Source organism: Homo sapiens, chromosome 8 (genome assembly GCF_000001405.40).
Source record: "Homo sapiens chromosome 8, GRCh38.p14 Primary Assembly".
NCBI lineage: Eukaryota > Metazoa > Chordata > Mammalia > Primates > Hominidae > Homo > Homo sapiens.
The window spans coordinates 11,545,940-11,568,109 of NC_000008.11; the positions used below are offsets into that span (position 1 = coordinate 11,545,940).

A 22,170-nucleotide genomic window follows, 5' to 3' on the forward strand; every position below is an offset into this window, starting at 1 on the left:
CTTCAGTAGGTCCCTGGAGATACCCTGGCTGCCCGGCTCAGCAGTCTCAACCCCCAGGCCCCACCCACGCAGCAGGGACTGAAATAACTCAAGTGTGTGTTTTCTACCCAAGGTTGTCTTCAACCACCTTACTCCTCCACCGCCCGATGAACACCTGGATGAAGGTAAGAAGGGTGGTTTGGGAAGCTGAGGCTCCACAGCCCTCTCCCCTAGGTGGCAGCTTTGTGGAGTTGGAAAAAGGTTGAGTCAGGAGCAGCTTGAGGGCTGGAGAAGAGAAAACGGGGAAGCTGAGAGAGGCCCCGGCTCTGTGCCTCTTGGGGCGTCTCTTCAGGAACCAAGAACAAGTTTCTTCAGTATGCCTGAGCCTGGGTGGGACTTTTAAAACATGAAAGACTTTACAAACTGTAAACAAGAACAAAAACAAGAGTCCCAGGGAAGACACACAGCATCATCAAACCCAAGTTTTAAAATATGCTAACTCTCAAACGCAAAGGGCTGGGCCAGTGGCTCCAGGCCCTTGCCTCCAGCCCCTGTCCGCTCTATGTGGAGGGCACCTTCTTGTTTCCCGCTCCCAGTCACTTCGAGAGTCCCGCTGCTGACCACCTAACCACCCACGCCCCTACCTGGTCCCCAGACTCCACTTGGTTTTTTTTGAGACAGAGTCTCGCTCTTGTCACCCAGGCTGCAGTGCAGTGACCCAACCTCAGCTCACTGCAACCTCCACCTCCCGGGTTCAAGAGATTCTCCTGCCTCAGCCTCCCAAGTAGCTGGGATTACAGGTGCACACAACCACACCGGGCTAATTTTTATGTTTTTACTAGTGAGGGGGTTTCACCATGTTGGCCAGATTGGTCTTAAACTCCTGACCTCAGGTGATCTGCCCGCCTCAGCCTCTCAAAGTGCTGGGATTACAGGCGTGAGCCACTGTGCGTGGCCCCTAGACTCCACTTCTGCTCTGGTGGGCTGGCCTGCTGGGTACTGTAGGGAATGAGCTCAGCCTTTCTGGGCCAGAGGCTCCACCCCTGGGGACTCCCAAGAGGGTGGCCTCCTTCAAAGTGACTTCCCGCAGCCTCCTCATCATCCATGTCCACACAGCATGGGGAAGGGATGCCTCGGCCAGCCGGGCCCCACCCATTAACCTGCTCATATGATGTGTACTGGGCATTCAGCACACAGAGCCCAGCTCTGTCCCAGGAATGGCGAAGGGGTGACAACAGGTAGATGCGACCCCTTCCCTGGAAAAGCTCAGAATCTGTCACACTTGTGAGCAGAACCTGAATCTTAAAACTTCAGGGAACCACTGTCACCCATTCTGACCCTCGCTTTCCTGCTGAGAAGAGGTGACCAGCCCGAGGTCACAACACTCAGCTCAGTGACAGAGCGGAGCCACCCCACCCGGGGAAGCTAAGTGCTCTCCAGGTGACCTTCATCAGGTGGGTCCTGTGGCTCCCAGAGCTGTGCAGAGAGCCTGCGTCACAGCAGGGCTCACTTGAAGATGGTGCTCCAAGCTCCTGAGCCCTCTTCCTGCCTTCCATCCAGGGCCCGCCAGCAAGGTGGGGGGCCCGGCAGGGTCACTGGCAGCCATAGACAGTGTGGCTGGGGCTCTGGGCACAGACAGTGGAGAGGCCAGGGCTCCAGCTGCCACGTGGCAAGACCACCCCTACTGGGGATAGAGGCAGGCGGGGCAGAGGAGGAAAAGGATAAGAGGAGGCTTATGGGCCTCCGAGGGCAGGTGTAGAATAAGAAGATGAGGGCTCCCAGCACTATGTCCGAATGTGGGCCTGAGGCCACCAGCAGCCCGGCAGTGGCTGCCTCCCTGTGGCTGACCTCTGGCCATCAGCTTCCTCACACACGCCTTGTCCAGGTCATAGGGCTTCTTAGTGGGTCCACAACGGAGGACAGGATGGGCTCTGGGGGGCAGCCCATCCCTGGTGGGGTCACAGGGCTGGGGGTGGGGGCCTGTGCTGGGTGAGAACATCATTTCCATCGTGGGCAAGCAGAAGCCTGTCCTCCTTGGTAGCCAGGCTCACCCCAGCCCCACCTTCCCGCTTGTGGGCCTGAGTGGTGGTCATCTCTCCCTTGTTCATTTTAGACAAGCATTTCGTGGTGGCTCTGTATGACTACACCGCTATGAATGATCGGGACCTGCAGATGCTGAAGGGGGAGAAGCTACAGGTCCTGAAGGGGTGAGGTTCCAGGACACCATCCCCTGTCCCTGCAGGACCCCCCTCCCCCACATCTCTCCTTTCTCCACCCACCACATCCTCCATGGCTGACCCTGGAAGTCTTCTCCATCGCCCTGCCCCCAGCCCTGGCCCCAGCATTTTCTTGAACTTGGCCCTTTTGTCTTCCTCTCCAAAATCTTTCCGGTGAAGTAATTTCCATTCACAACCTCCTGCTCATCCTTCAAAGTCCACGTTCCATGCCACCGCCTCCATGCAGCCCTCCTGACTCTTTTGGGCATGTGGACCTTGTCCTTTATGCAGGCTGGTCTGGCTGTTCCGTGAAAGCCTTGCATTTAAGCCAGTTGTGTCCATATTTGTCTCCTTTTCAAGACAGGAGCCCACACTGATGACACACACCAATCCCGCTTTAGCTCATTTCCCATGTCCTTCTCAGAAACTCCTTCTAGGTCAGCTCTCTCTCAGTGGCCAGGCTTGTCCTGTGGAGCTCTGAGGGTCTGATTTGGTTCTTGAAGTTCTCCAAAGGCCCTGAGCCAAGCTCACGAAGGTCCTGACTGCTGATTCTATACAGTCCACGCCAACCGTGTTTTTCTCAAGCCTGTCCCCAGTCCCTCACCAAGCTCTGAACACGTCCCATTCATCAAGAGGAAGGCTGCTGGCTGGATCCTTGTGCCCTCTTGGCTGGTCAGGCTGTGTAGATAAGCTCTTCCCCCTAGAACTTGCCCGGATAGCCACTGTACCACTGAGCAGTGGGCACAAGCCCCTTCCTGCCTGCCGTACTCTCTACCCCTGCGGATTCTCTGCCCTCCAGGGAGAGATGACTTTGAGGAGGCCTGAGAGCTGCCCAGTGACGGGCCTACAGGGGCCATGATCTCATCTCTGTTTCCCCTGCTCCCATTAGAACTGGAGACTGGTGGCTGGCCAGGTCACTCGTCACAGGAAGAGAAGGCTATGTGCCCAGTAACTTTGTGGCCCGAGTGGAGAGCCTGGAAATGGAAAGGTAGGTGGGCACGGGAACCCCCCTCGAGCCAAGATGCAGTCACTGTTTCTGCTCCCTGGGCTGTTAGGCAGGGCAGGGCCAGAGTGGGACTGACCAGGGAGCCTGCAGGCACTAGCAAAGAGGGGACAGGAAATGAGCTCTGCTGGGAAAGGCCTCTCTGCTGGCTCCAGACGACATTCAGACTGCTGTGTGACACTGAGCAAGCCGCTCTTCCCAGCTAAACAAGAGCGGTCCTTCTCCTGGCTCCCCTGGATGGAACCGGCCCCAGTGTCTGATGGCCTCGAAGGCTACCAGGGAGGCACTATGACCAGCATCCCCTCCCCTACAGCCTCCATGGGCAGGACTCAGGGCTCAGCCCTCGGGGGCTCCCAGGAGGGTGGCGTTGTTCAGAACTGATTAATACTCCCAATCTTCTAATCCCCCAGCCCCCATCTTCTCCCATGTCCCCATGGCACTGGGAATTTCGGACTCGGCCAGCCAGAGCCCCCACGAATCTGCTCACAGGGACTAGCTCTGCCTGAGGACTGAGGCCCAGCAACGAGTCTTCTCTGGACACTGTGGGCCCCGCTTCTTTCCCTGGAACAGTGTGGGGAACCGTGGGGCTGTCCTGCACAGAACAACCCCATACCGAAGGGGACATACTGGGGTCCCTGCTCAGAGAGTCTCGGCAGTTTGCCTAATTCAGATCTCAGACTGCAAGGAGGAGGCACGTGCCTGTGATACGCAGCTGTGCTTTGGAGAGAGTGATCAGGGGCATTTTTCCAAAGCAAAATTAACAAAGGTCAACCAACTAGTGTTCTTGTTTCGTTCTAGGAAAACAGTGAGTCCAGGGCTGACAGGAAGCGGAACTGGAAGGGCAGCGGGGCAGAGGGCACTGACTCCATCACGGTGTGAGGAGCAGCAGCTCAGGGCCGACTGGGACCAGAAATGCTAGATTTTTATTTCTTGGGGACAGGCAGTGCAGGAGGGAGGCTGTGTGGGAATACTCCGAGGAGCAGGGTCGCTCTGAGTTTCACCTGTTCCTGCCGTTTTCCAGGTGGTTCTTTAGATCACAGGGTCGGAAGGAGGCTGAGAGGCAGCTTCTTGCTCCAATCAACAAGGCCGGCTCCTTTCTTATCAGAGAGAGTGAAACCAACAAAGGTAGGCTTGGTGGCTTTGCCTGCCTTCCTTGCCCTGCTCCTCCCGGGAAGGCGCCTCCAGAGGCCTGGCCCTGGAGTGAGAGGGGAAGGGGTGACTGCCAGGAGAACCAGCAGCTTCCGGGCTTGTGTCCCTCCCAATTCAGGCCCTGCCCGGGAGTTGACATGGGGGCTGTCCACACAGTCCTCCCTGTCCCGGCTGGAAACCACCTGGGCACAGGAAGCCGGGTGGACAGGGGTGGTCCCACGCCAGACTGGCCCTGCTGCCCAGTCAGCAGGAACACCGAGGCCAGTGGGGGCCAGGGAAGGGGGAACCCTGAGCCCTTAACCACCAGCCTCTTTGGAATCAAGGATTAGGGGGAGCTCAAAGAATCCTTCAAGATCATCTCAGCCAGAGGCTGCAGGTAGCATATGTTAGGAAGTGGCCTGTGCCGTGATGTAAGAGAAGAGGGTGGTAATTGAGGGGAGCCCATGCCAGTCTAGACACTCATGAGTTCAAATCCACTGACTGAGCAAAACAGCTGCCATCACCCTCAGGGGTTTTCTCTCTTTCTCTGTCATTTGGCTTTCTTTCCTTCTTAATTTTTTTGGTGTAAAATATAAAACACATATAAAGCTTGCATGAAGTATGAATGTGTAATTCTAAATCATATAGGGTAATAATAAACAAATCCCTGTGTAATGACAGCCAAGAGAAAGAGCATCCCAGACCACCAGGAGCCCCCTCACTCCCCCACTTGGGCTCCTTCCTGATTCAACCCCCACCCTCAAGAGCTACCTGCTGTCCTGACTTGGATGGAAATCCTTCCTTGCTCTTCTCTGTGGTTTCGCCACCATGTCTTGTCTGTTTTTTCAGCTTGATGTAGATAGAATCACTGTTTTTGTTTCTGTGTGTCTTGCTTCTGTCACTCAGCAGTGTTTGTGGGATTCTATGTTAGTTTCCTGGGCTGCCGTAACAAAGTGGCACAGACTGGGTGGCTTCCACCACAGAAGCTTATTATCTCACAGCTCTGGAGGCTGGAAGTCCACGACCAAAGTGTCAGCAGCGTTGGCTCCTCCCGGGAGCTCTCTCCTTGGCTTGCCGATGGCCGTCTTCTCTGTGTCCTCACGTGGCCGTCCCTCCATGCATGTCTGTGTCCTAATCTCTTCTTGTAAGGACACCTGTCAATTTGGATTAGGGCCCACCCATATGACCTCATTTTAACTTAATCACCCCTTTAAAGGCTCTGTCTCCACATATAGCCACATTCTCAGGACCGAGGGTTAGGACTTTAACATATGAATTGGGAGCGCACATGATTCAACCAGTAACAGATTCATTCATGTGGTTGAGGATGGTGAGCCTGTTCATGTTCATTGCTATACAGAATCCCGGGTGTGACCATTCCAGAGTCAAGTTAGCCATTCTCATGTTGTGGGCATTGAGTTGTTTCCAGTTTGGGGCTGTTAATGCATGTGTTGCACCGAACCCTATTATGGTCCCTGGTGCTCACTGGCCACTAGCTTTTCGTCTGTAAGATACTAATCCACTTGACAGATGAGGAAAGGGAGTCCCTGAAACAGGAAGTGACTTGCTGGGGGCCAACAGTAAGCATCAGAGCCCAAAGCACCAGTGACCACATCATCTAAGAGGCTGAGAGGCTTCCCAAGCTCTACAACGTGGCAAGCTAGGGTGACCCAGGGGCTTCCCAGGCAGTATGAAGAATGCTTTGCTCATCAGGAAGCTGTCCACAGGGACCAGGTACAGCCTTGTAGCCAATTTTAACTGGAGAGGAGATGGTGACAGTGACATCAGAGGAGGAAAGGGAGAGAGAGTGTCTGGAATATGAGTCTGGTTCCCTGTGGTTGGGGCGATGAGAATGGACAGAGTTGTCACCTGGTGGGAGCACCCTTGGGCTGTCCATTGGTTCCATCTGTGGCTCAAGAACAGCAGCCAGAGTGGAAACCCAGAGTATGAAAAGCTGTCATAGCACCCTGTGATTCTCTGGGGACATCATGAGGCCTTGGTGCCCCACAAAGGGGCAGGACCAGGTTGGGGAGCAGGAAGGGTGCATTGGAAAGCTGGGGTGCTCTGTGCAGGATTTCTTGGAATATGCCAATGAATGCATATACATACATATACATACACATAGATATATGCATTTTATATTTATATTCATATTGGATATTGTCACTATTTCATTTTTGTGGCAGAGCACCTCTGTACAAGAAATAATTTGGGAATCACTGGAGATGACATAAGTGTTTTATTGTTGTTCCAGGACATTTCAAACATACACAGAAGTAGAGAAAATAGTTTAGTGGAACCCCTGGTACCCAACAGCCAGCTTCAACAATTATCAACTGAGCCAGTCTTGTTTCATCTGTATCTCCCGCTCCACCCCTGTTCTTTCGAAGTAAATCCCAAACATCATGTCATGTCACCCTGGAAATGATATTTCAACCATTGCCTATTGCTAAGGTGAAAGCCTCCCCACCCCCTGCCCAATCTGGTGTGGAGGAAGAAGGGGTTCTCTATGAGTCTGGCATCTTTTCCTGTCCATGTCCACCCCAGGAAGCCAGTCCAAGCTGGGAATAGGCCATATGGGACCAGGGCTGCAGGACTGTTCAACCATCATCACCACCACACGCACATACACATGCACACATGAACACACATGCACATATGCACAAATGCACACATATACACACATGTGCATACACAGGCATGTGTGCACACATACACATGCAAACACATACACATGTCCACGCATGCACATATACACACACACGCACACATATACATGTGCACATATGCACAGATGCAATGAACACGTGTGCAACACATGTACACACCTTACACGTACATATGCACACACACACACAACTCCAAAGCAAGACCCCTCTGCTTCTCCGAGCCACAGCAGTGAATGCAAGACAGGGATGGAAGCAGGGGAGTGAGTTCTACCCTTCGTGGCCTCCGGGGTGTCCTTGAGCCTCTCAAGCCTCAGTTTACTGGTGTCTATGTGAGGATAGACTAGTTTCACAGCTCAAAGGCAGGCGGTCCTTCAGTGCTGAGAAATCTTCATCTCAGAGCCAGGCCCTGCCTGCCCAGGGCAGTCCAGACATACCACAGAGGCAGGGGATCCAGGTTTTGTGAAACTGAAGCTGATAGGATCTGAGGTCGTCTTTACAAAGGACACCAAATTGTCAGAAGCCATCAGGGACGGGGCCTCAGAGCAGCCAGGCAAGTGAGGGGTCTAAAGCACCAGCTTGGGAAGCGTCACTGCGTGGAGAGCGGGCTCCTGGGCTCATCGCCCGAGGCACCCGACACAAGTGCAGCCTACAAAATGGAGAGAAAAGCCCTTGATGAATGAACTCCCTAAGGCCAGGCTCGGGTTCCTTAGAGACTGGGGGCACAGCTGCACCCGGGCAGGGTCGGGGAGACAGTTTGCAGCCTCTGGGCTGAGGCTGGGGTGGGGGTGTGGAGGGGCTGTGGCAACAGCATGGCGTACGCCTCTGGGTGTCCTTTTGCAAGTAGGTGATGAGAGAGGCACATTGGCTGAGGGAAACTGGAGGATGGAAGGGGGTTGAGGCAGGGGAACTGACAGGAGAGGAAAGAGCCTTAAGTCAAACAGGACCGCGGAAAACCAAGCGTCCACAACGAGAACGAGGGGTCCGTGCCTGACCCCTGGCGGGGAGGCGTGGTACTGCTCGAGGTAGGCGCGGACTCGGGGAACCGGGAGCCCCCCAGCCTGCCGCGAACTCTGCTGGGCCCCAGCGTCCTCATCTCCCAAATAATGGGTAAGGGGCGGGGTAAGGTCATGGTACCCAAGTAGCTGGACAGACGCATTTTATAAAAACATCAAGTTCATGGAAAAGCGTTTCTTACCTGGAAATTCTTACCTCCTAAATTGTCCTTAACCCTTGACATCTGCTACCACTTGCCTGCGGGAAAACATTAACCTAGAAGACAAAATAACAGGTGTATGTAACAGGCAGCAAATGACTTTGAACAGAGCCCCTGGGCATAGCTTATTACGGTGTCCGCCATGGACATGGGTACTTGCAGCTGTGAATGGCTATCTGCTTGTAGGAGTAAGAGATACCCTCTTTAGCCAGAAAATAAAGCCCCTAGTCACTCCAACGAGACTAGATTTCTCAATAGTCCATGACAAAGGGTCCCCGAGTGACCAGATGCCCAAGTGGGGACCTACATGATTGCTGAGAAACTGTGCTGCCTGCCGCAGGGCTCTGTGATTCCCTGGCTGAGTTTTGCAGGATAGTGGGGGGATGCCAAGGTCAGAGTCAGATGGAACTTACAGGGGAGGCTTCCAAAAGCATGGAGGTTGAGATGCAGGGAAAGGAAACTTGTGGAGGGAGTGCTGATAATGAAGAACAGAATTGGGGAACTTTTTTCAAAGCTTTAAAATGAGGCCCAAATCCCAGTCCCGTTTTTTGTCTTTGTGCCTTACTTCTCGTGTGTGTCTTCATGAACCCTCCAGGTGCCTTCTCCCTGTCTGTGAAGGATGTCACCACCCAGGGGGAGCTGATCAAGCACTATAAGATCCGCTGCCTGGATGAAGGGGGCTACTACATCTCCCCCCGGATCACCTTCCCCTCGCTCCAGGCCCTGGTGCAGCACTATTCTAGTAAGAGGGGGCGTGCAATGGGGGCAGGGACTTGTGCCAAGAGCCCCTGGATCTCTCGCTAAGATTCCCAATTGTGTGAGTCATTGGTGCCACCTTGGGGGATGGAAAGATTATCCCAAAGTTAGGCCTAAGGAGGTAGCAACTCTGAGCACCGGGAATTGGTGGCCCTAATTCCCTCTCCTGGCTCAGCAGGGAACCCCTTAGAGAGTAGCAAGCATTTTCAGTCTTAGAGTGAGCAGGTCGATTTTAGAGATAGCATGCCCTGCTTTGCGCAAACGAAGAGAAAGAGTTGAGTGTGTGTGCATGTGCAGGCGTGTGCACACACCCATGCAGGGGGTGGGGTGGCTGGGGAGTGGAGGGCCAGCTAGGAATGATACAGCTCCCAAGGTAGAGCCTGGCTGCTCTGGTAACCCCCAGCCCTGTCTTTTCTTCCCTAATGCAGAGAAGGGGGATGGTCTATGCCAGAGGCTGACCCTGCCCTGTGTGCGCCCGGCCCCGCAGAATCCCTGGGCCCAGGATGAATGGGAGATCCCCCGGCAGTCTCTCAGGCTGGTCAGGAAACTCGGGTCTGGACAATTCGGCGAAGTCTGGATGGGTGAGTGTGTGCACACGTGGGAGCATTTCTCCCCCCATTCCACCTGCGCCGCATCCTGAGTCCAGGTTCAGCATTTTCATAGCGTGTCATCCCTCCCCCAGAAGTCTTGAGAGGGAGCGAGGACAGAGGCGAGGACACTCATTTTACAGAGGAGGAAGTGGAGGTGCAGAGCCGCGTTGTAACAGCTGGGACCGCTTATGGTGGTGGCAGAGCAGGAACAGAATCCAGCTCACCCAGCCCCGAAGTCGCTCCCTCCTTCGTTCTCTGCCTGAAGCTGGCTTTGACAATGAGCTGCAGCGGCGCGTTAACTCCCCTTAGCTTTTCATCACCCAGATGGAAACAGGAGGTTAAACGTGATGAGCCATGATGTTCCAGAGCCTGAGTGCACACCGAGGGCAGCCGTGGGACTTTGGCCAAGTCACTGAAGCTCCAGGCCTGGTGTCCTCACATTTCCATCGCTGCTGACACCTGCCCCCTTCCCCCCCCCGCCCACCAGGATATAAAACTCGTGTTCCGTTTTATCCCTGGATTGGTCCATGAGTCCTCCCTTACCTGGGGCTGGTCCATGAGTGCTCCCTTACCTGGGGCTGATGCCCACGGTGCTTTTGGCAGGAGCTGTACCCAGGTCCCTGCCAAGGCCCATGTCCTCTAGAAAAGCAAGTAGAGTTGTCTTTTGCCCTTCAGGGGACTTCATGGAGTACAGGGAGAGTGTGGAGATACAGATAGTTTAAGGAGTGGGACAGGATCGCCATGGGGCTTCAGAAGGAGGGAAGGAGACCCCCATGCGTCATCCTCCTGCCCAGTGTACCCCAGGCTGTGTGCTTATTTCCACCAAGGAGTTATTGTGTGATAGAAGAGACTCATTATGTAGGGGAGGGGTGGGGGAAGGACACAGGTTCCGTGCAGGACAGAAGGACACAGGCCCAGGGTGTGGGGCAAATAGGTGAAATGCCCCCCAGGCAGGGTACATTCCTCCACTGCCTGAGGCCCCATATAGAAGGGACCTGGAACGCAAGGTAGGCACCACACAACCATGGCCTCCGGAACTGCATGTTCCAGCTCTGGCACCTGGAATGGGGTGGCACCTGGGCACTTACCCCGATTTTGGTTAAGGGATCACCTCCGAGCAAGCTCTCTGTCTTCTGATTGGCTTCTTCACTCCCCCGGGCTCAGGTTACTACAAAAACAACATGAAGGTGGCCATTAAGACGCTGAAGGAGGGAACCATGTCTCCAGAAGCCTTTCTGGGTGAGGCCAACGTGATGAAGGCTCTGCAGCACGAGCGGCTGGTCCGACTCTACGCAGTGGTCACCAAGGAGCCCATCTACATTGTCACCGAGTACATGGCCAGAGGTGGTGCCCCCCGCAGAGCCGCATCCTCAGAGCGAGGCGGGAGGGCCGGGCTTAGCAGGAGGAGGAGGGTCCGCTGCGGTGGGTTCACCAGGCCAGGGGGTCCTGCAGATCTAGGGCATGGCACGGTGTGGGGACAGGGAGGGATGGAGGGAGGGGGAGGGACAGAGGGAGGGTGAGAAACAGGAGGGTGAAGTGGTTCTGACAGAGCCATGTTCTCAGCCCAGGAGCAGTTCAGACAGCATTTCTGGAGTGCATCTTCTGTGCCTAGCACTCTTTGATGCCTGCTGGGAGGGACAGAGCATTGCAAAGTCAGACGAACACCAGGCCAGGCATGCAGGGACAGTACTAGATCCAGGTCTCCTGCCTCCTGGTCATGCAACCATTTACAACTGTGTGAATATTTTACAAGGATGGCCAGAGAGGTTGGGCTTGATGGCCTCTGAGGTCCACGGCGTGGCCAAGTTCTCATGCCACTTTCTCACCCTCCTATGACCCTGACCGCACACTGCTCCTATAGGATCCTAACATGCCCATGTTGATATAGCTCCCTAACAACTGTCACCAAGGGGCCCCCGGTCGGAGGCTGTGCTGGGGGTGCCTCTAGCCTGCCCCTAGGGCAAGCATCCATCCCTCCCAGCTTTCTGATTCCAGGGGGAGCTGCATTTGTCCCCTGCACCAAACCTGGGGGACAGTTCTCTCCATTCTGGTGCTTTCTTGCTGATGCCTGGTCCTCAGAGGCAGAGGGTGTCTGCCAGCAGGGATCAAGGGAGCGAGGCCAACACGGGGGGAAAGACAAGAAGGGGCATGAAACTTCGAGTCAGAACTGGGGTCCCACTCCCAGCTCCCGGCTGGGTGACTTCAGACAGGTCCCTGCACCTGGCTGAAACCTAACTTCTGGGCAACTGCTGGTATATTGGCTGCCTCCCGGGGTGCTGAGACTGGCATTTTGTAAAGTGGAAGGCACTCGGCAGCAGTAGGTAGATCCTTCCTGATGCACCGAGAGATCTGAGGGTGCAAACTCCCACTTCCCGCGCCCATGGGGAGCCACTCACACCAGAGAGAGGCTGGCACCACCAGGGGCGGGTCACTTTGCAGAAGGGCACTTGCAACTTCTCTTTTCTTAGGATGCCTGCTGGATTTCCTGAAGACAGATGAAGGGAGCAGATTGTCACTCCCAAGGCTGATTGACATGTCGGCGCAGGTTGGTGAAGTACCAGGTGCAGAGAAAGGGCGGCATGTGCCACCTGCTGCCCACAATGGCTGCTCGTGCCTTACCACCCCATCCTCTCAGCCAGCAGGAGAAGTCAGGGGGTACTGAAGGCCACCTTCCTCTAGGCAGATATCCCCAAGGTCACCCACTGCACTTGGACTTGCAAACCCTGGCCACTGTGCCTCCTGCCCCACGCAGCTGTGAGGGAGCCCAGGGAATGGAGCCTTAGACCCGGGCTGCTGTGTTGGAATGAGGCTATTCTGTTCCGAAGGAAGAGAGGGCGAATGAATGTCATGGGAAACACACAGAGTTAGCAAGAGTTCCATTGAACCCGGCAGGCAAGTGTGTTCTGTTGTGACCTCATCTCTTCCTTAGATGGTGCCCACAAACATCTCCTGTAGGACTTCCCATCCCAGGGGCCCTCAGCCTTTGCACAGCCCTGGCGTCGACCCCAGGCTGATGGGCAGGCCTGAGCTACACACAGATGCCAGGGACATGACTTCTCTGAGCCCTGGAGGACAGCCCCACCTTCTGCCACCAGGGAATTGCGAGTGCTGGACCTCCTTGGCTACCCAGGACTGGTCCTCAGTGTCCCTCACGTTCACATGCAGAACTTTCTGGACTCCATGGGGTGAAGAGCAGAGTGGAGAGGAGGGTTTTAGCCGAGAGCTCTAGCTGGCAGGAAGCACATCTGGTGGCCCTGTTAAAACTGGAACTCTCAGCAGAAAAGTTTTGGTCTGTGGTCAGCCTGTGAGGCACACACGTGCGTACACATACACACACACATACAGCTGCCACCGAGAGGAAACGCTCCCACCCACCGCCCACATCAGCCCTCCCACCTCGCCCCTCGCCCAGCCTTACCCAGTAGCGCCGCTGCAGGAACTGATGCCACAACGCCTTTTTCCGCTGAGGTGGGCAGACAGCCATCTGGGCAGGCTGGTTTTGGAAAATGAGTGCTGGTAACCGGCTTCAAACCCCAGGGCAGTGATAAGCCTGCCCACTGCTGCTGCTTCCTTTCCCCTTCCTTCTCTCACCCTCCGCTGTCTCCTATTCAATCCCCACTACACCCCCTTGGGAAATCTCGTGTGACCCAGGGGCAAAGGATGTGAAAAGCCATCGGAGTTTAATACCTGGATGTAGCCACAGAATCGGGGGTGAGGAGCCAGAAAATCAGAACTTCCCAGAAGGGCAGCCTCTAACCACATGCTGACCATGCCAATGGCTCTCTAAGCACACATGTACACACACACACTCTCACACACATAAAAACACAGACTCACACACACACGGACAAACACAAACACATACACAGACTCACACAGACACGCAAACTCACACACAGACAGACACACACACAGACACACAGACTCACACACACAAACTCACACAGACACACAAATACACAGACTCAGACTCAAACACAAACTCACACAAACACATTTACACAAACTCACAAACTCACACACACAAACACACACACAAACACGCAAACTTACACACACATGAGCAGACACACACCCGGCCCTTCTGGGCTCTTCTTTTCTTACTCCATAGGAAGCCATGCAAAGTCTCGCCAGACCTTTCTTCCAAGGCCAGATCTGGCCAACCCCACAGGAACCCTGCAATCACAATCCCTCGGGCCCCACTTTGCAGCCAGATGCCACCGGTTCCCATGCCCCATGCCTCGCCACCCCTCTACCTCCTCTGCCCAGGAAGCCTTGAACACTTCCCACCTGGCAGAATCCTTATCATCATCCATGGCTCAAGCGTAATGTCATTTCTATGAAGGTTTCCCTGGACAAGAAACTGCCAGAGAGCCCTTAGCTCAGGTGTTCCCGGAAGCACTGTTCTTGCTCAGCAGATCTGGGCAGCTTCTTCTTGAAAGCAGATCTGGGCCCTACTCAACATTTTTTAAAATATATTTCTGGTACTGTTCAATAAATATTAGTTATCAGAACGAGTACTGTTAGATGCTGCCCAGATATATTTAGTACTCAGTTTTATATTCCCCACAGTCCCATATTAGTAAATGAGTATTGATTGCATGGTGTAGCAAGGGGATGGATGGATGCATGGATGGGTGGATGCGTGGGTGGGTGGGTGGGTGGGTGGGTGGGTGGATGGATGGATGCATGGATGGATGGATGGATGGATGGATGGATGGATGCATGCATGGATGGATGAATGGGTGGATGGATGGATGGGTGGGTGGGTGGGTGGATGGATGGATGGATCCATGGATGGATGGATACATGGAAGGATGCATAGATGGATGGATGGATGGATACATGGATGGATGCATGGATGTGTTGATGGATGGATGGGTGGGTGGATGGATGGATGCATGGATGGATGGATGCATGGATAGATGGATGGATTCATAGATAAACCAACAAAATGCAAGCATAAGGAGAAGTGGAATCAATTCTAGTGCTGGCTTCTTGAAGTCGCATGTCTGAAGAGGTAAATGGGGTCTCTGCTTTCTGCCTCAGTTTCTTCGTCCATTGATTGGGTGAATAAAGCCTTAGTTTCCTCAGCTAAAAGGTGCCAAGTAGCACCAGCTGCTATCCCTGGCCCAGGCTGGTGATCAGGGGAGGAGAGACAAGTCTCTTCTTCTTCACAGCCTCTGTCCACCTGGATCTGCCAGTGCTCCCTGGGTGCCCCCACGGGGCAGGCGCTGGGTGAGGTTCTTGGTCACAAATCAACCTCGTCTAATGCTTGCCTCAACCCCCTGCCCTGGAGACCACATCCCTCATGTTCCATGTCAGGACTGTGGCCCCTCGGGGAGGTTAAGCAGCTTGCTAGAGGTCAGCGACTTCCCGAGGGCCTCCAGCTCCAGGAGCTGTGCTTCCAGCCAGCCAGTGAGAGCTGCCTGTCCTTGCCTCCTGCTCCCCCTCCCCCTCCTTCCTTACCATTTCTTCTCTTCTCCCTCCCTCTCCTTTTCTCCTGCCTGTGTTCTTCTATCTTCCATCTCTGCAGACCCTTGGACACAGCTGTGTGGAGCGAGAACGAGGAGGGGGAGGGGCACAGGTAGCCCCTGTGTCTCTGATGCCCACGTTGCTGCGTTGCTGTTCTGGGCTTCTAGGAGAGGAGTTTATTCGGCTGAGGAGCAACACAGTCACCTTTCTACTCCATCCAAGAAACAGCTCCTTCCCCAGCAGCCCACAGGGGCTGTGCGGGGGACACAGTGTGGGCTCGGTCTTGGCGTGGAGGCCCCCAGGCTGTCCTTCACCATGTGCCTGTTCCCTCAGATTGCTGAAGGGATGGCATACATTGAGCGCATGAATTCCATCCACCGCGACCTGCGGGCGGCCAACATCCTGGTGTCTGAGGCCTTGTGCTGCAAAATTGCTGATTTTGGCTTGGCTCGAATCATCGACAGTGAATACACGGCCCAAGAGGGTAAGCACAGCCCCTAACCACAAGGGAAACCTAGGGCCTTATCTTTCCCAGCTCCTCAAAGCCGCCTTTAACTTCTCCCAGCACAGCCCTGAGGGAAGACACCTGAGGGCTATACGGTTTCTACAGCTCTAGATCAGCATTTCCTTCATTTACCCAAATGTGTTCAGCAGAATGGTAGTGCCCTGAGACCTCCCATGGAGGAACAGCTTTAGGATAAGGTAGGTTTGGAGAAACAGCAGTCCACCCTACTCCCTGTCTTGGAGATTCCCAGTGCACATCAACATATTAAAGGCACTGAGAAGTCCTGCAGCAAAGAAACAGTTTATGTTTGCCTCACCTAGTGCCTCCCAAACTAATTTGAGCTCCAAATACTATTTTTTTTTTTTTTGAGATGGAGTCTCTGTCACCCAGGCTGGAGTGCAGTGGCACAATCTTGGCTCACTGCAACCTCCGCCTCCTGGGTTCAAGCAATTCTTCTGCCTCAGCCTCCCAAGTAGTTGGGATTACAGGCGTGTGCCACTACACCTGGCTAATTTTTGTATGTTTAGTAGAGATGGGGTTTCACCATGTTGGCCAGGCTGGTCTCGAACTCCTGAATTTAGGTGATCTGCCTGCCTTGACCTCCCAAAGCGCTGGGATGACAGGTGTAAGCCATGCCCAAATACTATTTTTATATAGTCCCTATTAACCTTCCATGGAATTAGGCTTTCACAGAGCACACTGTGGGAAACACAGCTCTCATGTGCGATCAGCAAACCAACCTGTATTAGGGTGTCCACGGAGCACTGTTTTACTCTGTGCATATAACTGAGGTGGAAATCTACGTCACAAGAGAATCTGAAGGGGTCACATATATTTATCAAGCTAGCAAGCAGTGTCTGCTGAGCCTATGAGTCAGATGACAAGCAGACAGGATATGGCTTGTTCTCTCGGGAACTTCAGGCTGGCTGGGGAGACCGAGAAATGGAGGCCAGGGGAGGCTGTGAAGTGCCAAGCCCTGAGGTCTGCTCCAAATGCTGGCCGGGGCTGCAGCCATTGAGGTGCTTCACAGGGCAGCCGGATGTGAGTTCTTCCTCATAGCGGCCCTCGGAGGTACAAGTGTCACCATTTCCATTTTGCAGGAAGGGACTAACGGAGGCGCCCGCAGGTTTAAATGGCTTGCCCAGGCCATGTCTTTTAAATTAAACAAGGCCCCTGTAAGGTGAAACAGGCCCCTTCCATCCCAGGTGGAAACGTGGTGGCTGCCCATTGAGGCCATCGCTCTCTTTTTAAAGAACCAAAGTGGGTGACTGTGTGGTATTGGTGTCCATATCGTCTTTCTGTGCTGCTGATGTCGTGTCTGCACTCACCTGGTCATGTGTCCTGGTGTGCGGTAGTGGCTCCCCCGCCATGCCTGGCCGCCCCGCCCTGTGAGGCCCCGCAGTGGGGGCTTGATGGAAGGACAGCAGGAGCAGGGGTAGGGGTGAGGATGGAGGGTAGGGGCCACCGGCCGTGGCCTCCCAAAGCTTGCATGGCTTTTCCCACAGGGGCCAAGTTCCCCATCAAGTGGACAGCCCCGGAAGCCATCCACTTCGGGGTCTTCACCATCAAAGCAGACGTGTGGTCGTTTGGAGTCCTCCTGATGGAAGTTGTCACTTATGGGCGGGTGCCATACCCAGGTAGGTGGCTCACCCCGCAGCTCGCGGCTCCCTGCTTTCCCGGCCGGCCCTGATGGCAGGTCGCCTGTGCTTGGTGCCTGTGGCTGCCCTGTTCTTTTCAGAGTGAGTCCCAGAGCGAAGACGGAGACCCAGGCATGGCATCTGGGGTGGAGCTCTGCCCCCTGCATCACTATTGCTCTGGGCCACAGGGCTGTGTCTCCTTCCTCCAGCAGAGGTCAAATGAGTCCCTCAAACTGAAATCAAGACAAAGGGCACATCCGAACTCAAGTTTACTCCCAGTGGCTTGTTCTCAGTTGAGGACAGGTTGTGCCTACCTTGGCTTTGCACCCATAGTGGATTCCCCAAAGCCCCTTCCTGTGTGGCCAGAATCGTGGACGACAGCCCCCAGCCCCAGTCGAAGGGCTCCAGCCACTTGGCCCCCACAGGTGGGCAGGCTCCGGGTCACCTGCTGCTGTGTGCACCTGGCAGCTGCCCATGAGTGATGGGCTTGGCTGTGCCCCTGGTGGTCACAGGTAATCAAGAGAGGGAGGGTCCCATCTTCAGAGGACCTGCCCCGTACTCAGGAGAAAATCTACAGCCTCATTTCTAGGCATTCCCCAGGCAATAAAAAGTAAATAAAGGGCTGTTTAGAGACCGGGCAGCCAGGCAACGCACGAGGCTGGAGAAGTGGTCTGGGACTGTGGGCACTGCTGTCCCTTGCCTGGGCCCACTGTGCCCCGCGGGACGCTCAGGGCCCCCCACCCACCGAGGACCCCAGCCCCTCACCCCCGCTTGCGGTCTCCTCTGCCGCAGGGATGAGCAACCCCGAGGTCATCCGCAACCTGGAGCGCGGCTACCGCATGCCGCGCCCCGACACCTGCCCGCCCGAGCTGTACCGCGGCGTCATCGCCGAGTGCTGGCGCAGCCGGCCCGAGGAGCGGCCCACCTTCGAGTTCCTGCAGTCGGTGCTGGAGGACTTCTACACGGCCACCGAGCGGCAGTACGAGCTGCAGCCCTAGCCGGCCGCGCCCGCCTGCGCCCCGTGCCCACCTCTGCGCGGACGACCCCGACTTCCGTGCCATCCCAGACGGGCCGCGAAGGCGGGGTGTCGCCTGTGCCCTTTTCTCAGACCCGGAATCCAGTGGGCAGAGGCAGCTTCGCAGGGGGTCCCCGGACGGACTCCTTCACCGACTGCACCCCCGGGCGAGTTACGCGGCCTCTCTGTGCCGCTTCATTTGTAGAGGGCTGTAACAGTGACCTCGCACGGTCATCCGGAGTACTAAGCCCCAGTAAGGTGTTCAGGACTGGTAAGCGACTGTCATCAAGTAAGGCCCCCGTGCTGGGCACCCCCCGTGCTGGCCGCGTCCCCGCCTCTGCGCCCTGCGTGGACCCCGCCCTGCCCCGCTACAGAAGCCAGACTGGGTCCCGCGGACGCCAGCAGGGGCAGCCCCAGCCTAGGCTGCGCTCCAGCACTGCGGGGCTTTTCTGCAATAAAGTCACGAGCGTTCGAGCTGTTCCGTGTCGTTACCTGTGACAAGCTGGACATCGCGTGCAGGACGAGCACGGGGCGCAGGCGTGGCGCAGCCAGGGAGTCCCGCGTGGTCTGGGCTCCCGGCGGTTGAGCGGGGCCCGCAGGGGGCGCTGTGGCCTCATAAATCCGTGGCTCGGGCCCGCGCCGGGAGCTCTGGGCGGGGAAAAGCCAGGGGCTGACGCTGTGGGCCGGCGCTTTGGGGACGGCTAGGACGCGAGCCCAGCTCCAGAGGCTCCGAGTCCCCAGGCCAGGTGCATAAACAAGGATCGGGTGACGATGGGGCGTAAAAGCGAGGAACGTCGGCGGCTCCCACTACATGGAGGCTCTTCACTTGGCATGTTTTTGTTTTGTTTTTAATAGACCGATTTTTTTTTTAGCAGTTAGGTTTACAGAAAAAAAAAGTGGGAATTAAGTAGACAGTCTCCATATCTCGCCCATTTCCCCTATTACTAACATCGTGCAATGGTGGTGCATTTGTTATCACTGATGAGCCAATACTGATAAAATATCATTAACCGAAGCCCACCTTTTGCATCCAGGTTCTCGCTGCCTGTTGTACATGCCGTAGGTGTAGAGGAAAGTGCAGAGACTTGTACCTACCGTTCTGGGTCCCCCACTTGAAAGCCCCCTGGCTCCACCTGTGCACCCGCTTCCTTCCCCTTGAACCCTTGCCACCCAGCTTGTCAGTGTTGACTCCTCTGACTGTGAGAACACCCCGAGGTAGGACTATACCCACCCGCAGTACAGAGGTGGAAACTGAGGCAGAAAGTGCTCACACACACCCCTCTTAAGCGGTAGGATGGGGGCGTAGGTGGGGGAAACTGCAGGTCTGGGCAGCAGAGGATTAGAGTGGGGACTTGGTGGGAGAACCCCCAGAAAGGGGGCAGTCGCTGCAGGGGTGCTGGGTGAGGACAGCCACCAGCCAGGAAGGATGCGGTTCACATAGCGTGATCACCTACAGTGTGTGGATTCTCCAGCAGCCTGGGGTGGGTGCATCACCATTACTACCACGAAGCTGTTTCTGCAGATGATGAAACGGACAGACTCCATGCCACCAGGCTCCTCTCAGCCAGTTCTTGGCCCTCACAGCCCCCACTGACCGTGGGCAAGCACTGGATGGGAGCACAGCACTTTAAGGAGGTCTGGGGGGGGGCAGACCTGGGGCCTCGCTGAGGAGCCCAGAGGGACAGGTGTCCCCAGCTGCTCCAGGATGCTGGAGGTGGAGGAACCTAGAGGTGGAACTCTGTCCCATACAGTGGGGCTCCAGAAATTGTGGGGCCTCTGATCTCCCCCAGGACCTGGTCACACCGGGGTGCTGGAAGGAGGAAACTGCCTGGCCAAGAACCTGGTGCCAGGGGACGTGGCTGGTGGGGGGTAAACAGGAGCGTGGGACAACAAGGTCAGTGGGGGCTCCTGCTAGTGGGGGCCACTGGGACTCATGAATGGGAGGGCCAAGCTGACCTGCTGGGGCTCCTGTGGGGTGGGGCTGAGGAGGGAGCTAAGATCACGGGATGAGGAATGAGCCCTTCCTTCACCTCATGAGCAGGGACCATATGCCAGGACACCACCTCCCCGGCCCCTGCAGCCCCTCTGAAGTGGCTGCCATGACTCGGGAGCTATCCTCGAGTTGCAAGGCTTGAGACTGTCTCCTCACCTCCCTGGACCCCACTGTCATTCCCTAAACATGAGTCACCCAGTGCTTTGCCAACGTCACCTCAAGTTTTTGTTTTAAAATGCAGGCTGGGCGCGGTGGTTCATGCCTGTAATCCCAGCACTTTGGGAGGCCAAGGCGGGTGGATCACCTGAGGTCAGGAGTTTGAGACCATCCTGGCCAACATGGTGAAACCCGTCTCTACTAAAAATACAAAAATTAGCTGGGCGTGGTGGCAGGTGCCTGTAATCCCAGCTACTCGGGAGGCTGAGGCAGGAGAATCGCTTGAACCTGGGAGGCAGAGGTTGCAGTGAGCTAAGATCGTGCCATTTTACTCCAGCCTGGGCGACAAGCATGAAACTCAGTCTCAAAAAACAAAAGTAATAATAAATAATAAAATAAAATGCAGGCCGAAAGCCTCTCCGTCTCCCACGGAGATTCTGATTCAGTGGGTTGAAGTCTGGATCCGGAAACGTCCTCTTTTAGAAGCACCCTGAGTGATTCCTGTGCAAGCATTTCCAGCTTGGACCAGCAGTTCTCAGCCCTGGCTACTCACTAGGGTCACCTTGGGTAGAATGGGGTTGGAGTGGGGGGAGGCACATTAAAAAGTGCCAGTGCCAGGGTTCCGGGTGAGCATACTTTATCCAGGGCCTCAGCATACTTTAAACATCCCCAGCTGGTGCTAATGTCGATCCCGGATTGGGAACCCCTGGGCAGGGCTGTGTGAGGTCGGAAGTGCTCCATCCCAGCGGGCCTGGCTCCAAGTACCTGGGGGCCAGGCTGATGTTCAGGTCCTGAAACTCCACGACCAGCAGATGCCTGTGGCTTTTTCCAGCTCTGGTATGCAAGTGGCAACCTGCGGAAATTAGAAAAGAAACCCAGAAGACCAGCACATTCTCAGAGGCACGTTCTCAGGCAAGGACACCCACCTCTCCTCCGGCTTGGTTTTCCTGGGAAAGGTGAGGCTGGAGATCTTGAAGGATGAGGGAGAGTTTCTCCACGAGGGGTCGCACTTGCCCGAATGGTGCCCGGAGCTGAACCTGTATCCTGGTGTGTTCTTGTTCGGGACATAAACATGTCTATTAAGGATGAGGAGCTCAGTCAATTCTCAGCCAGAAAGTGAAATGTGAGAGTGTGGGGGGGAAGAGAGATGGAGAGAGGAGGCAGAGAGTGCATGAATGGACGAAAGCCTCATTTCCTGCTCTAGGGCTTTGCCTTCCTTGTGGGAGGGAGGGTATTTCATGGCCTGGAGTCGGCCTTCTCCCAACCATAAAACTGCACATATGAGGACATTGCCGGGGGGCCCATGCCTGAGCCATCCGGGGCATATGATTGTTGTCCCGACACCCAGAGCTCTGGTGAAGGGGGCAGCCCAGGTCTGGGAACCCCAGACCTCTCCTTGCCTGTGAAGGAGCTGGTGCCTTTCCCTTTGCCTCCATTCCTCCATTCCAGAGCCAGGACACACCCTCAGCGTTGCTGTGAAGTGAGCAACAGCAGGGTCTCTGAGTCAGACAGACCTTTCAAAATCAGGCACTTCCTCTCCCCGGATGTTTGACCTCGGAGACTTTGCTTCATTTCTCTGAGCCTCGGTTTCCTCATCTGTGCAATGGGCACAATGCTGACACCTGCATTGTAGGCTTGCTGCGAGGTTTGCACAAAGCAGCTCACAGGAAGCATTTACCAGAGTGCCTGTCTTATGCTAAATGCTCAGAAATGTTAGCTCTCGTTAGGGCTATAATAACCCCCAAAGAAGGGCCTCCAGAGACCCCGATCCCAGCTAAGCCCCCTTAGCCGGGCTTCCCTGGCCTCTGCCATACCTCCCCTGCCTCGGGCTTCTA

General features: G+C 55.4%; 1 protein-coding gene and 1 long non-coding RNA gene across 13 annotated transcripts in view, besides 8 other annotated features; one reads left to right on the forward strand and one right to left on the reverse strand.

The window, feature by feature from the left end:
- Positions 1-18,660, forward strand: part of BLK (BLK proto-oncogene, Src family tyrosine kinase) — a 70,213-nt gene extending 51,553 nt beyond the window's left edge. For 4 of the 11 annotated variants that reach the window (XM_011543824.2, XM_011543827.2, XM_047422081.1 and 1 more), the window contains 11 exons: positions 113-164; positions 2,093-2,186; positions 3,085-3,183; positions 4,220-4,323; positions 8,804-8,950; positions 9,393-9,545; positions 10,719-10,976; positions 12,023-12,099; positions 15,363-15,513; positions 17,040-17,171; positions 17,964-18,660. In XM_011543824.2, the coding sequence (XP_011542126.1) occupies positions 113-164; positions 2,093-2,186; positions 3,085-3,183; positions 4,220-4,323; positions 8,804-8,950; positions 9,393-9,545; positions 10,719-10,976; positions 12,023-12,099; positions 15,363-15,513; positions 17,040-17,171; positions 17,964-18,169 (1,473 nt within the window). In that variant the 3' untranslated portion in view covers positions 18,170-18,660. Of the gene's footprint in view, positions 1-112; positions 165-2,092; positions 2,187-3,084; positions 3,184-4,219; positions 4,324-8,803; positions 8,951-9,392; positions 9,546-9,646; positions 9,913-10,718; positions 10,977-12,022; positions 12,100-15,362; positions 15,514-17,039; positions 17,172-17,963 lie in introns of those variants that run through there. The other 7 variants (NM_001715.3, NM_001330465.2, XM_047422082.1 and 4 more) reach the window with 3 other exon arrangements.
- Positions 189-348: an enhancer, noted in NCBI's record as "active region_27027". NCBI's record gives its function as "activates an Ori minimal core promoter by ATAC-STARR-seq in GM12878 lymphoblastoid cells {active_cell/tissue: GM12878}" and the evidence as "EXISTENCE:reporter gene assay evidence [ECO:0000049][PMID:35858748]".
- Positions 549-598: a silencer, noted in NCBI's record as "silent region_18934". NCBI's record gives its function as "represses an Ori minimal core promoter by ATAC-STARR-seq in GM12878 lymphoblastoid cells {active_cell/tissue: GM12878}" and the evidence as "EXISTENCE:reporter gene assay evidence [ECO:0000049][PMID:35858748]".
- Positions 719-768: an enhancer, noted in NCBI's record as "active region_27028". NCBI's record gives its function as "activates an Ori minimal core promoter by ATAC-STARR-seq in GM12878 lymphoblastoid cells {active_cell/tissue: GM12878}" and the evidence as "EXISTENCE:reporter gene assay evidence [ECO:0000049][PMID:35858748]".
- Positions 3,670-4,869: an enhancer, noted in NCBI's record as "CDK7 strongly-dependent group 2 enhancer chr8:11407118-11408317 (GRCh37/hg19 assembly coordinates)". NCBI's record gives its function as "activates an origin of replication core promoter dependent on BRD2, BRD4, P300/CBP, MED14 and CDK7 cofactors, with strong dependence on CDK7, by STARR-seq in HCT116 cells {active_cell/tissue: HCT116}" and the evidence as "EXISTENCE:reporter gene assay evidence [ECO:0000049][PMID:35650434]".
- Positions 6,547-12,326, reverse strand: BLK-AS1 (BLK antisense RNA 1). Of its 2 annotated transcripts, none has more exons than XR_948956.3 (5): positions 11,951-12,326; positions 10,127-10,722; positions 9,779-9,923; positions 8,205-8,264; positions 6,547-7,641 (listed from the first exon to the last, which is right to left on the reverse strand). It is a non-coding gene; the product is annotated as a BLK antisense RNA 1 (long non-coding RNA). The 2 variants fall into 2 exon arrangements; XR_948955.3 differs by having other exon boundaries at positions 8,191-8,264.
- Positions 12,496-12,785: an enhancer, noted in NCBI's record as "active region_27029". NCBI's record gives its function as "activates an Ori minimal core promoter by ATAC-STARR-seq in GM12878 lymphoblastoid cells {active_cell/tissue: GM12878}" and the evidence as "EXISTENCE:reporter gene assay evidence [ECO:0000049][PMID:35858748]".
- Positions 17,432-17,481: an enhancer, noted in NCBI's record as "active region_27030". NCBI's record gives its function as "activates an Ori minimal core promoter by ATAC-STARR-seq in GM12878 lymphoblastoid cells {active_cell/tissue: GM12878}" and the evidence as "EXISTENCE:reporter gene assay evidence [ECO:0000049][PMID:35858748]".
- Positions 18,762-18,861: a silencer, noted in NCBI's record as "silent region_18935". NCBI's record gives its function as "represses an Ori minimal core promoter by ATAC-STARR-seq in GM12878 lymphoblastoid cells {active_cell/tissue: GM12878}" and the evidence as "EXISTENCE:reporter gene assay evidence [ECO:0000049][PMID:35858748]".
- Positions 20,971-22,170: an enhancer, noted in NCBI's record as "P300/CBP strongly-dependent group 1 enhancer chr8:11424419-11425618 (GRCh37/hg19 assembly coordinates)". NCBI's record gives its function as "activates an origin of replication core promoter dependent on BRD2, BRD4, P300/CBP, MED14 and CDK7 cofactors, with strong dependence on P300/CBP, by STARR-seq in HCT116 cells {active_cell/tissue: HCT116}" and the evidence as "EXISTENCE:reporter gene assay evidence [ECO:0000049][PMID:35650434]".